General features: G+C 38.1%; 1 long non-coding RNA gene across 1 annotated transcript in view; it reads right to left on the bottom strand.

The window, feature by feature from the left end:
* The window catches only part of LINC01162 (long intergenic non-protein coding RNA 1162), a 187718-nt gene that overhangs the window by 128763 nt on the left and 43504 nt on the right, over positions 1–15451 (bottom strand). The window contains exon 2 of the long non-coding RNA NR_126381.1: positions 11570–11646. This is a non-coding gene — a long non-coding RNA (long intergenic non-protein coding RNA 1162). The remainder of the gene's footprint in view (positions 1–11569; positions 11647–15451) is intronic.

Raw genomic sequence — 15451 nt, 5'->3', positions numbered from 1 at the left:
TTCATCCTCCAGTAAGCACAAGTTTCGTCACACAGAGGTCTCAGGGTAGCATTCTAGGAATGCAAAGGCAGAAACTGAAAATTCTGTTAAGTCCCAGCCTCCGGAACTCACACAACATCACTTCGGGCACATGCTCTTTGTCAAACAAGTCACATGATTAGCCCGGCATCTAGGTCTAAAGAAATAGACTCCACTTCTGGATGGAAGGAACAGCAAAGTCATATTGCACAGGGGCCTGGATACAAGGATTGGAGAAATGTGTGGCCATTAAATAGTCTACCAGACCTGGTTACAAAGGCCAACTTTTCAGTTCATAGAACAGGTCGACATCTCATCCCAGGCATTTGAAATGGCAAATGTCCAATGTCAGTGTGTGTCAAGCATTTGAAAAACAGCTTGTACAACACTTATGAATATTCCATACAATTTTCAAAGACAGAAGACCAATCCAGAACCATGTGTGGTAAATAATGTTTTTCTGATCAAACCAAGAAGTTGACATCATTAGCATCATGCTTTATGTGCTAATACAATATTTCCTATTATGTGAAAGCAACCTTGGTGTCCTGTAAGCAAGTGCAGTTGCTCCGAATTCACCAAGAACTGACCATGGGCCCTCTGGGCTATCACTTCTAAACTGAACTGCACTGTAAATATTCTTTTAAGAAAGTTCCATATGCCAACAACTGTGATAGAAGTTTTTTCCTTAGATGGAAAAAATATATGAGGGGCATAATGAAATGGTAAAAATTTTCCCTGAGTGCTTTGTGAGGACAGAGGAAGGGAGCCTCATCACCCCTAATCTGGAAGATAACTCCAATGAAACAAGGATTTAAAGACCATGAAGATATATCTTCTTTCTCTATTATCACCCTTTTTACTATATTTTTAAATTTTAGATGATGTTCTAGAGAAACTACAAGTAAAAACAAAACTTCTTTTCCCAAAATGATGTAAACAGAGAAGGTTGGGCAAAATTCAGATCCACTTTACGTTATTTAAATTTCAGCAATAGCATCTACATTTTACAGCTTTTAGTAAGCTTTCACTAGCTATGTCCTGATGTATATAAAGACAGATAAATAACAAAATTAATAGTAATTATTTTGTATCATTCAAAGATCTCCATTACTTGTGCTATAAATAACACTGGTCATTAATACTTGTCCACAAACCGTAAGTACTTTTAAATTGTATCTCATTACAGCAAACACCTACAAAACATAGCTTCTTGTCCTTTCCTTCTAGGTAAACAATTGCTGGATTACAGAGAGGTTCATTTCCTACACATATGCATATGGCTTTGTGTACTGAAAGTGGAAGATTTCTTTCAATTTTAAATGTTTCCCTTGGACAATGATCAATTTTTTTGTGAGTGGTGTTTTATCTTTTAATTTAACTGCTTGAAATGGACCAGCTGCAGAGTGGGAAGTGTGTTGACATTTATCCGAAGTCTTATCTTTATTAAATCACTTGTATTATTATACTACATAAACAACTTAATAAACACAGCAAATACTTATCTAACTGGAGTCAGTAAGTCTATAGAGCCAGCCAATTTACTCTTAATTTTCTGAAAAAGATAAAACCTCCTGTATCAGCTGAGTCACTGGGGAAATTAAGTCTTCACTTATCAAATCTGTTACCAAATCCAAAGTACCCCCCATGAGTACCTGAAGTGCTTTTGATTCTTTCTTTTCTATAGATATCCAATGGAACTGGATAGTGACCTTTCTACTCATTCCACTTCACAAACGTAATTCTTTTTCCACCCTCCCCCAATACCTCAATAACTTTCAGTTGTCCTTTTGCAATACTAAAGGATGTTATCAAGAGATTGTTTAGTTTTCTTCAAATATTTATAGTCACATTCATAATGAAAGAAAAATGTGATGGGATCTTCCCAAACTGAAGTCAAACGCAAGGTTTAAAATGTTCTCTGTAGTCTAACACTAGGCTGTCCAATATGGTAGCCACTAGCCACATTAAAATTTAAATTAATTTAAAATGTAAATTAACTAAAATGAAATAAAATTAAAAATTCAGTTTCTCAGTCACACTAGCCATGTTTGAAGTGCTCAGTAGCTATTTGTGGCCTAGTGGCTACCTGAATGGACAACACAGAGACAGAATATTTTCATTATCACAGGAAGTTCTACTTTCAATTGCATGTTAAAGTACTTTTGTTGCATTTTTTAATGCAAAAAAAAAAAGTCTATTGAAGCCTCCTTTGTCCCTCTCTTTAATATAATTTCCTTCATTCCCCATGGGAATTGCTGTCATGAAGTTGAACATCTTTCCCACCCATGTTTTTAAAATAGATATTTTTCCTGGCCGGGCGCAGTGGCTCATGCCTGTAATCCCAGCACTTTGGGAGGCCAAGATGGGCGGATCACGAGGTCAGGAGATCGAGACCATCCTGGCTAACACGGTGAAACCCTGTCTCTACTAAAAGTACAAACAATTAGCCAGCCTGGTGGCGGGCGCCTGTAGTCCCAGCTACTGGGAAGGCTGAGGCAGGAGAATGTCCTGAACCCGGGAAGCGGAGCTTGCAGTGAGCCGAGATCCCTCCACTGCACTGCAGCCTGGGTGACTGAGCAAGACTCCGTCTCAAAAAAAAAAAAAAAAAGGAAATAAAAATAAAATAGATATTTTCCCTAAAGTGGATTCATTAAGGAAGAGTAGCACTTAAACTTTATATTAATAATAATGTCACTTAAATTTTTTACTCAACATTTTAATTTAGAAATTTATGCAAGTTAATAGTTTGTTTAGTATTTCAGATAGGTAGCTAGGTCTCAGATCGTTTTGTATCCCATTGCATGAATATACCCTATTTATTTAGGCATATATGATTTTATTTATATTTTTATAATATCGTCCCTCTCACAAATAGCCATTGTTGTGGTTAGGTGATCAGTATAGAAAAAGATAATGAAATAAAAGTCATGTGGTTAGGTGACCAGTATAGAAAAAGATAATGAAATAAAAGTCATTATTTCATTTGGCAAGTAGCTACTTCTCTCTCCTATTCCTCACAGCCAAAGTGCCACTACCAAAAAGGCTAGGTAATCAGGTGCTGTTAAACATAAAGGCTTCTATGTTTCTCTTCCCCAAATACTGTTTATTTCAAAGACAGTAAACAATTACAGAGATTAAAGGTATAAGATAATTACAGCTTTCAGTGAAAAGAAAAAATTGATAATGTTATCTTGTCATACTTTTGTTTTTGTTTTTTGAGACGAAGTCTCGCTCTGTCGCCCAGGCTGGAGTGCAGTGGCACAATTTCGGCTCACTGCAAGCTCCGCCTCCTGGGTTCACACCATTCTGCTGCCTCAGCCTCCGGAGTAGCTGGGACTACAGGGCGTGTGGCACCACGCCCAGCTAATTTTTTGTATTTTTAGTAGAGACGGCGTTTCACCATGTTGGCTAGGATGGTCTCAATCTCCTGACCTTGTGATCCGCCTGCCTTGGCTTCCCAAAGTGCTAGGATTACAGGCGTGAGCCACCGCGCCCGGCTGTCATAGTTTTAAGTAACGCTACTTACATTTACTTTTTACTCAGATGTAAGATAGGAATATGATCTCTCACATATGGCAGAAGGCACTTGAATAAATCACCGATGCAAGATTAAGGAATAATCATACTGTAATCAGTAGGACTCAACTCACCCTCTTGGAGAACAGCAACAACAAAAAGCTAAATATTTATTTTTAATGTTCAAATTAGCCACTTCAGTTCCTGTAGTATCAAGTTAGACTCTGCCTCCTCCCTGTGAATTGTGCAAAAACCAGATGAGTTTTCTTAGTTTGAAGATGGAACTACTGTTTCCAGTTGTGTCTCCAAGAGAGCTGGAGAATATGCTGAGTTTACCTCAGGTCCTGTTCACCTTTTCCTGACTTCCATACACATTTGGCAGCCATGTTGCAAACAGGCCATCCATACGATGAGAGACTGTCGGTTTTAAGTTTATTTTATACCAAGTATTTTACATATCTTATCCTATTTAATCCTCATAATAATTCTCAAAGGAATGTATTATTTTTATCCCCAGTTCACCCGTGACAAAACTAAGGCTCAGAGAAATGAAGAAATTGGCAAAGATTGTGCAGGAAGGAAATAACATTAAATTTAAGACATTTGTCCGAAATCAAAGCTCTTTAAACTGCATTTTATTCAATAAATAATTACTGAGTGAAATGTTTTATTAAATAATTCAGAAGAATTAGATTCTAGTCTATTTTGACCAAACTAACTATGTGAACCTGGCAACAATGTTAATAATTACAGATCTTTCTAGCATTTTATAAAAAAATCTTTATTCCCCTTAGAGCCTCCATTGTCTCACCTATATAATTAGAAAATTAAATTAGATGATCTCTAAAGCCTCTTCCAAGGTTAAAATTGTGTGAATTTAAATGACAAAATCATTAACAAGTGCTGATTAAGAAGCATTTGTTGTAATAAGACCTGTACAATAGAAAAAACTTCCTGTTCTCAAGGATCCAGTAATCTAAAAAATGCCCATCAGTCACAAATACAAAATTAAAGATAAAATAGAAAGACAAATGTGTGATAAAACTTTAAAATCTAATGAATGCTAAAACTACAAATAAAAATAAATGCTGGAAAATATGAATTATAATTTAACTTTCCACTACGCATTGTCAAATCAGACTTGTTTTTAACAAGTGAGACTGCAAGCTCCCTGAAGGCAAGGGATATTTCTTTGCAATTTGCTCCTCTGCATCGTATACCCAGGGCTTAGAATTATGACTCGCATAAAATGGTCATTCAATAAATATTTCTTGATTGGGGAAATGAATAAATGGATAGACTTTATTAAATGAATGGGCAACAATATCTTTTATATTTTAATTCATTGCCTTTTAGGGCTCTAGGTAGCTTGTTGGCCAGCAGAAAAAAATAATCAATAAAAGGCTGAATTATTAATGCCAGTTTACAGAGGTTAAGAGATTGAGTTTTACATCTGTTCATTTACTTATACAAGGGAGATAAGAATAGGTACCATAATGGAGTCCTGGGAATGTTTTAGATGTTGTTTAGTTGGTTTGTCTGTTTTTAAAAGGTCAGATCCCCTGTCCTCCCACAGTCTGATATGGAGAGGAGCTAGAAGGTAGTATATGATTATGGAGGATTAGAGGCTACTGAGAGGGTCTACCTGGGAGAGCTTACCTGAGAGGTCTACACAGGACTAAGTTCTGTCACTGTGGTGGCATTGGTGAGTGCTCTCAGTACCATGCAGTGTCTGCCAGGGGGTGTGTCTTCATCAGAAGTTCTCACCACTGTGGGGTGAGAACCTGCTTTCCCAGTTTTCCACCTACATCTTCATGCATTGTGAATGAAAGGATTTGCACCTCTTCTGTGACATTTTGCTGAGCTCTATACTAACTACAAAGAATACCACAAGCAAGCACCTCCCTCAGAGGGTAGGACATGATAGTGTGATGGTTAAAGCCCACACCCCAGGTACTGGGTGGGACCAGTGGATCAGAGAACCCACCTCAATTTCATTCGAGTTTCTAGATTTGAAATATTTCAACAGATAATCTATACCAGTGGTCCCCAACCTTTCTGGCACCAGGGACTGGTTTCATGGACAATTTTCCCACAGATGGGGGTGGAGGAGGGATAGTTTCAGGATGAAACTGTTCATCAGGTCATCAGACATTAATTAGATTCTTATAAGGAGTGCACAACCTAGATCCCTCACATGTGCAGTTCACAATAGAGTTTGTGCCCCTGTGAGAATCTAATGCCACTGCTGATCTGACAGGAGGTGGAGCTCAGGCAGTAATGCTCACTTGCCACCACTCACCTCCCGTTGTGTGGCCCGGTTCCTAACCACAGACCGGTGCCAGTGCCAGGGGTTGGGAATCCCTGGTCTATACTACATGTTTGGAAGAGAAAGGAGACAAAGCCATAGAAACCCGACATGTCCATTCATCGTGGATTGACATAAAACATAATATTATTAAGCAAAAATTTCTATTACGAAAAAACAGTTTGCACAATAGAATGATGTTGGGTGTTTATTCTAAATTTTTTATTTGCTTTTATGGCTAATTGTAGTCAATATTTTTTAAATCCCAATATAGTGTGGGAAAATTTTAGAGTAATAACTTGACATAGCAAAATACCTTAAGAACCCCTGCCCATTTCCATATTTTATGAACAAGAAACTAAGGTCTGATCAAATTAATGAAATAAATCAAGAAAACAAGGTTAGAGAAAAAAAATAAAAAGAAATGAAAAAAGCCTCCGAGAAACATGGGACTATGTGAAAAGACCAAATCTATGTTTGATTGGTGTACCTGAAAGTGATGGGGAGAATGGAACCAAGTTGGAAAACACTGTTCAGGATATTATCCAGGAGAACTTCTCCAACATAGCAAGGCAGGGCAACATTCAAATTCAGGAAATACAGAGAACGCCACAAAGATACTCCTTGAGAAGAGAACCCCAAGACACAAAATTGTCAGATTCACCAAGGTAGAAATGAAGGAAAAAGTGTTAAGGGCAGCCAGAGAGAAAGGTCAAGTTACCCACAAAGGAAGGCCCAACAGACTAACAGTGGATCTCTTGGCAGAAACCCTAGAGGCCAGAGGAGAGTGGGGGCCAATATTCAACATTCTTAAAGAAAAGAATTTTCAACCCAGAATTTCATACCCAGCCAAACTAAGCTTCATAAGTGAAGGAGAAATAAAGATTCTTTACAGACAAGCAAATACTGAGAGATTTTGTCACCACCAGGCCTGTCTTACAAGAGCTCCTGAAGGAAACACTAAACATGGAAAGAAACAACCAGTACCAGCCACTGCAAAAACAGGCCAAATTGTAAAGACCATCCATGCTATGAAGAAACTGCATCAATTAAAAGGCAAAATAATCAGCAAACATCATAGTGACAGGATCAAATTCACACATAACAATATTAACCTTAAATGTAAATGGGCTAAATGCCCCAATTAAAAGACACACACTGGCAAATTGGATAAAGAGTCAAGACCCATCAGTGTGCTATATTCAGGAGACCCATCTCACGTGCAAAGATGCATATGGGTTCAAAATAAAGGGATGGAGGAAGATCTACCAAGCAAATGGAAAGCAAAAAAAGCAGGGGTTGCAATCCTAGTCTCTGATAAAACAGACTTTAAACCAACAAAGATCAAAAGAGACAAAGAAGGCCATTATATAATGGTAAAGGGATCAATTCAACAAGAAGAGCTAACTATCCTAAAAACATATGCACCCAATATAGAAGCACTCAGATTCATAAAGCAAGTCCTTAGAAACCTACGAAGAGACTTAGACTGCCACACGATAATAATGGGAGAGTTTAACACCCCACTGTCAATATTAGACAGATCAACGGGACAGAAGGTTAACAAGGATATCCAGGATTTGAACTCAGCTCTGCACCAAGCAGACCTAATAGACATCTACAGAACTCTCCACCCTAAATCAACAGAATATACATTCTTCTTAGCACCACATCGCGCTTATTCCAAAATTGGCCACATAATGGGAAGTAAAGCACTCCTCAGCAAATGTAAAAGAACAGAAATAACAACAAACTGTCTGTCAGACCACAGTGCAATCAAATTAGAACTCAGAATTAAGAAACTCACTCAAAACTGCACAACTACATGGAAACTGAAAAACTTACTCCTGAATGACTACTGGGTAAATAATGAAATGAAGGCAGAAACAAAGATGTTCTTTGAAACCAATGAGAACAAAGACACAATGTACCAGAATCTCTGGGACACATTTAAAGTAGTGTGTAGAGGGAAATTTATAGCACTAAACGCCCACAAGAGAAAGCAGGAAAGATCTAAAATCGACACCCTAACATCACAATTAAAATAACTAGAGAAGCAAGAACAAACAAATTCAAAAGCTAGCAGAAGGCAAGAAATAACTAACATGAGAGCAGAACTGAAGGAGGTAGAGATACAAAAAATCCTTCAAAACGTCAATGAATCTAGGAGACGGTTTTTTGAAAAGATCAACAAAATTGAGAGACCACTAGCAAGACTAATAAAGAAGAAAAGAGAGAGGAATCAAATAGATGCAATAAAAAATGATAAAGAGGATATCACCACTGATCCCACAAAAATACAAATTACCATCAGAGAATTCTATAAATACCTATATGAAAATAAATTAGAAAATCTAGAAGAAATGGATAAATTCCTGGACTCATACACCCTCCCAAGACTAAACCAGGAAGAAGGTGAATCTCTGAATTGACCAATAACAGGCTCTGAAATTGAGGCAATAATTAATAGCCTACCAACCAAAAAAAGTCCAGGACCAGATGGATTCACAGCCAAATTCTACCAGAGGTACAAAGAGGAGCTGGTACCATTCCTTCTGAAACTATTCCAATCAATAGAAAAAGAGGGAATCCTCCCTAACTCATTTTATGAGGCCAAGATCATCCTGATACCAAAGCCTGGCAGAGACACAACAAAAAAAGAGAATTTTAGACCAGTATCCCTGGTGAACATTGATGCAAAAATCCTCAATAAAATACTGGCAAACCGAATCCAGCAGCACATCAAAAAGCTTATCCACCACCATCAAGTTGGCTTCATCCCTGGGGTGCAAGGCTGATTCAACATATGCAAATCAATAAACGTAATCCATCACGTAAACAGAACCAACAACAAAAACCACATAATTATCTCAATAGATGCAGAAAAGGCCTTCAACAAAATTCAACAGCCCTTCATGCTAAAAACTCTCAATAAACTAGGTATTGATGGAAGGAATCTCAAAATAATAAGAGCTATATATGACAAACCCACAGCCAATATCATACTGAATGGGCAAAAACTGGAAGCATTCCCTTTAAAAACCGGCACAAGACAAGGATGCCCTCTCTCACCACTCCTATTCAACATAATGTTGGAAGTTCTGGCCACGGCAATCAGGCAAGAGAAAGAAATAAAGGGTATTCAATTAGGAAAAGAGGAAGTCAAATTGTCCCTGTTTGCAGATGACATGATTGTATATTTAGAAAACCCCATCGTCTCAGCCCAAAATCTCCTTAAGCTGATAAGCAACTTTAGCAAAGTCTCAGGATACAAAATCAATGTGCAAAAATCACAAGCATTCCTATACACCATTAACAGACAGAGAGCCAAATCATGAGTGAACTCCCATTCACAATTGCTACAAAGAGAATAAAATACCTAGGAATCCAACTTACAAGGGATGTGAAGGACCTCTTCAAGGAGAACTACAAACCACTACTCAATGAAATAAAAGAGGACACAAACAAATGGAAGAATATTCCATGCTCATGGATAGGAAGAATCAATATCGTGAAAATGGTCATACTGCCCAAAGTAATTTATAGATTCAATGCCATTCCCATCAAGCTACCAATGACTTTCTTCACGGAATTGGAAAAAACTACTTTAAAGTTCATATGGAACCAAAAAAGAGCCCGCATTGCCAAGACAATCCTAAGCAAAAACAACAAAACTGGAGGCATCATGCTACCTGACTTCAAACCATACTACAAAGCTACAGTAACCAAAACAGCATGTTACTGGTACTAAAAAAGATATATAGACCAATGGAACAGAACAGAGGCCTCAGAAATAACACCACACATCTACAACCATCTGATCTTTGACAAAGCTGACAAAAACGAGAAATGGGGAAAGGATTCCCTATTTAATAAATGATGTTGGGTAAACTGGCTAGCAATATGTAGAAAGCTGAAACTGCACCCCTTCCTCACATCTTATACAAAAATTAATTCAATATGCATTAAAGACTTAAATGTTAGAGCTAAAACCATAAAAATCCTAGAAGAAAACCTAGGCAATGCCATTCAGGACATAGGCATGGGCAAGGACTTCATGACTGAAACACCAAAAGCAGTGGCAACAAAAGCCAAAATAGAAAAATGGGATCTAATTAAATTAAAGAGCTTCTGCACAGAAAAGAAACTACCATCAGGGTGAACAGGCCACCTACAGAATGGGAGAAAATTTTTGCAATCTACCCATCTGACAAAGGGCTAATATCCAGAATCTACAAAGAACCCAAACAAATTTACGAGAAAAAAACAACCCCATCAAAAAGTGGGCAAAGGATATGAACGGACACTTCTCAAAAGAAGACATCTATGCAGCCAACAGACACATGAAAAAATGCTCATCATCGCTGGTCATCAGAGAAATGCAAATCAAAACCACAATGAGATACCATCTCACACCAGTTAGAATGGCAATCATTAAAAAGTCAGGAAACAACAGGTGCTGGAGAGGATATGGAGAAATAGGAACACCTTTACACTGTTGGTGGGACTGTAAACTAGTTCAACCATTGTGGAAGTCAGTGTGGTGATTCCTCAGGGATCTAGAACTAGAAGTACCATTTGACCCAGCCATCCCATTACTGGGTATATACCCAAAGGATTATAAATCATGCTACTAAAAAGACACATGCACACGTATGTTTATTGTGGCACTATTCACAATAGCAAAAACTTGGAACCAACCTGAATGTCCAACAATGATAGACTGGATTAAGAAAACATGGCACGTATGCACCATGGAATACTATGCAGCCATAAAAAAGGATGAGTTCATGTCCTTTGCAGGGACATGGATGCAGCTAGAAATCATCATTCTCAGCAAACTATCACAAGGACAGAAAACCAAACACTGCATGTTCTTACTCATAGGTGGGAATTGAACAATGAGATCACTTGGAAACAGGGCGGGGAACATCACACACTGGGGCCTGTTGCGGGGTGGGGGGCTGGGGGAGGGATAGCATTAGGAGAAATACCTAATGTAAATGATGAGTTGATGGATGCAGCAAACCAACACGGCACATGTATACCTGTGTATCAAACCTGCACATTGTGCACATGTACCCTAGAACCTAAACTATAATAATAATTAAAAACAGAAAGAAACTAAGGTCTACGGGGTGTTAAGTAACTTGTGGTATGGTCGAGATTTGGCTCTGTTGATGCACTCGTTTTGGTCTTTAAGCCTCCGGAGCTCAGAAAATAAATTTGTGTTGCTTTAAGCCACCCAATTTGTGGCACTGGGTTACAACAGCCCTAGCAAACTAATGCAGGAAGGTTCTAACATAGAACTTAGCACATAACAAGAGCTCAACAAATTATTATTATTACTACTACTCAAGAGTGATGTTATATCAAGGTGTCAATAGAAAAAAGAGTGACGTATGTTATGCTTTACACAGCGAGGGATAAAGATACGTTATAGATCATATCATAAGCTTCAGGACCTTTCTTTAACACAGATTTCTTGGAGGGCCCTACACTACACCTTATTCTGTATTCTGAAAGTTGTATAAGCTTCAGGCCCCACAAAACCATGATCCACTTTTTCCTCTGACAGTTTGGAATTCCTGACTTTGAATTTTGCTGTTTCCAGTAAAAGCATGGGCAAGCTGCCTTTTCCCTGCTTTCAAGACTTAGGAAATCTTATGGCCCTAGCCTTGCCCTTGCTGTCTCTTGTGAAGCTGCAGCTCTTTAATCACTTACCAGTACCATGGGTAGGAGCTAAAACCCCTGGTTTGGTGTCCTTGCCTCAGAGTCTCATGAACTTGCTTCATTGACTCCTGTGAAGAGAAAAGTAAAATGGCCCACAGAGAGTCACATTTTCAGCCTCCAGTGCTCTTAAGATTTGTCTCATTTCATCGAATAAGTACAACTATGAGTCTGTTGTTACGTAGTATCAAGGGCTGGAGAATCCGTTTCAGCCCATATTTTCCCAGAAAGTCTATTTCTAGCTCATTCTCAAATTTCTCATAACCATCATGCCCCCAAAACTACCAGTGCTGCTCTACAAGAAGTGCTAGATTTCGTAGGTATGTAGAAAATTCACAAATCTCTTTGTGGCTGCAGGCCCTTAGCTAAAACAAACTGCTCCCCCTTCAGAAGACCCTTAAACATTTAAAATATAGAAACTCCTTCAGAACTAAGCAAATGGATATAGCTTCCCTTTGGTTTCTCACAGGCTCTCAAGGGGATCGTTATCTTGTTTTAAAAAAAAAAAAAACAAGGTTAAATTTGGATTTTCACATATAGTTTTCTTAAAGCAGGTTGTATCTGCCCAGAAGCTCTGAGAAGAAATTTATATGAGTGTCTATCTTGCTTATTAGAGTACACATAGATATGATTAAAAATATGTAGAAAAGCATTTGGGGATGAATTGTTAAGTCTTTCCTCTATTCTTTTAGTTTTTACAATCTAACATTGCACAAGCCAGTAACCTTAAGTTGGGGGGAATTACCCAAATTTGAATGCAGTATTCCAAGGCGATCCCAGCCAATCAGCTTTGTTCACCAATTAGCAAGGCTGCATCTTTATTGCATGATCCCAAAGGAAACACTGAAGAATTCGATCCCTTCCCCAATATGTTTTGCAAAAATCAGAGATTCCTTGGAAATTGCTAAATCACGTCTTAACTAATATCTTTCTTGATTAAAAGGTGAAAATTTGTTTTACCACATCACTTTGTAGGTGAGTAGGGAAGACTTCTAGAAAAGTGCTTCACTAGGAAGTTTTGGGATAGAAGAAAAGGAACACACAAAGGATTGGAATAGTATCTATGTTCATCCCAACCCCTGTTTATTCTACCACCTCCACAGTGAGACTCCACATTTATCTCACATGCAGAACTTCCTTTTACTTCAAAGGGAATTCCAACTCTTCCAGGAATAAAAAGGGATAAGCCAGCAAGGTGCAGTTGCTGTGATGATGAAAAACCATCCTAGAAACATGATGTAGTACCTAGAAGTAATGCAAACTTGATAGCACTGGTACATGCATTTTCATTTCAGGTCAGAACACCAAGATGAAGTTCTAATCATGTTCCAATTCATTTTGACCTGAAAAAGATTAGCAATTGGATTTTGAAAAATGTGTGCCATGCTACATTGTTAAATCACTGTAAATCAAAGGATGATGAACTAACCTGATGTTAATTGTGAATATTGCTTCCAGGCCTCATTTCTTTAATGTGGAACGATGCTTTATTTTCAATAGCTTTTCCAATATGCTTAATTGCATATTATAAGTGAAAGCTCTTTGTAAAATTCTAAAGCCTTATCTATTAAACTTTCTTCCATTATTATTATCTACATTCAATGTTCACACAGAAAATCTTCCCATTTACTACCCTCAAATAAAACTTTAGTAATTGTCAGCCTTCCTAATGTAAATATCTTTACAAAGCCCAATAAACTCCCCTCTCTCTCCTTTTTGATTCATAGAGATGTTAATCTGATAATACAACTCAGAAGGTATCCACTTTAATAAGTACTGAATGTAAAACACAGAAACTTTCATTGTTAGAATATTCCTAAATCCTTTGATTGAAAAGATCCTAATATTAAAAGCATTTTCAAAGGAAATGAGGAAAGACACAATCCCATTATTACATTATTTTCTTGGCATTAAAAAAAAAGTTCCATGACCCACTTTATTAGTGGTTTTCCTAGTCAAGCTTATAATGATTTCTGGCCTCTGCCCTTGGGTGCTTTCCGAGGGATTTAGAGGCATATATCACCTTGACTGATATGCGATATAACTATTTAGTACAGCTATGAAATTAACTGTTCACCCTTTAGCCTGGGGCTTAATGGAATACGGGCTGGATATCACAGGCATTATTTAATAACTCACGCTTTATCCCTTCCCTTTATGAAGTTCAACATTTTAACAAATGATGACCACTTGTTGCTTTTGCTGAGATTCCCCTATGTTAGCCTGACAAAGAACATTCTTCCTTTTCATTCATGAATTCATTCAACAAATATTTGGTTAGTACCTACTTTGTGCAGGGTGCTAGGTGCAGGAATTAATGGTGAACCAAAGAAACCCACTCTTCATGAAGCTTACAGTTAGAGTCTTTCCTAAAAATTATGTAGCATTCAAGGCCGGGTGTGGTGGCTCACACCTCGTAATCCCAGCACTATGGGAGGCCAAGGTAGGCAGATCACTTGAGGCCAGGAGTTTGAGACCAGCCTGGCCAACATGGTGAAACCCCATCTCTACTAAAAATACAAAAATTAGCCAGGAGTGGTCGCGGGCACCTGTAATCCCAGCTACTTGGGAGGCTCAGGCAGGAGAATCACTTGAACCTGGGAGGTGGAGGTTGCAGTTAGCTGAGATCATGCTACTGCACTCCAGCCTGGGGGACAGAGCAAGACTCCATAAAAAAAAAAAAAAATGGCATTCATACTCTTTTAAGGTTCCTATATAGTCTCACCTACTACATTTAGCTAGTCCTTGTTTATCTGAAATTCTGTGTTGTTTTTTCAGTCATCTCAACTTCCTGTGTTTACAATACAGAATTATATTTCCATGGGAGAAAAGTTTAAAAAACAGTCCAAATAATGCAGTTTGTTGTGAAGACTTTGCATTAGATGTGAAACCATATTCCTACACCAAGCATTTCCCAGACAGTCTCAATTTATGAGACTGCATTGAATTCAGTGTTGATATTGTGGTGTTTTGGAATCATCATCTTGTTCCATGACTTTGCCTCACTGTTTCTCATGAACTGGAGGTGGCAGGGAGGCGGGAGAGAATTAAGAAAGTTAGCAACTTTGTTTTAAGGTATCACAAGCATTTTTTGCTATGTGTCCCCACAGTACTTAACATATAAATCTATATATTGCATATTATTTTCCATAACCTGCCTTTTCCATTCCAATTTCCAGTTCCTACCCTGTAATTTCTAAGTACACATAATTACTGCTTCAGGTGCTAAATTCTACATTCACAAGTATCTACACCCCAGCCCTCCAAAACAAAAGACATCAGCTAGCTAAATACAATTACCATATTATAAAATGTACAAATTTCAGCAATAACCATGGCTTAAGAATATTCAAACATAGACACTCTTCCTCAAGGATTTCTTCCTAGTGAAATATAGGCTTTGTTTTAACAATTTTGACTTCAGGATACCTCTTTAATAAGTGGCCAGTCTCCATGGCTGGGCACAGTGGCTCACACCTGTAATCCCAACACTTTGGAAAACCAAGGTGGGAGAATTTTTTGAGCCCAGGTGTTCAAGACCAGCCTGGGCAACATCATGAGACTCCATCTCTGCAAAAAAAAACTTTAAAAATTAGCCAGGCATGGTGGTGCATGCCTGTAGCCCCAGCTATTTGAGAGGCTGAGGCGGGAGGATTGCTGGAGCCCAGGTGACTGAGGCTGCAGAGAGCCGTGATTGTGTCACTGCACTCCAACCTGTGTAATAGACCAAGACCTCCATCTCTAATAATAATAATAATAAACAAGTGGCCAATCTCCAAATGTTAGGAAACAGAAAATAGATGTAACAAGAAAAGTAAGTGTGACTATACGAATATTTACAATTTTTCCTTGTCCTTGTAGGGAAGACTCTGTATT

The sequence above is a fragment of the Homo sapiens genome, chromosome 7 (genome assembly GCF_000001405.40).
Source record: "Homo sapiens chromosome 7, GRCh38.p14 Primary Assembly".
NCBI classification, from domain to species: Eukaryota; Metazoa; Chordata; class Mammalia; order Primates; family Hominidae; genus Homo; species Homo sapiens.
This window is presented reverse-complemented; position numbering and strand designations above follow the sequence as displayed.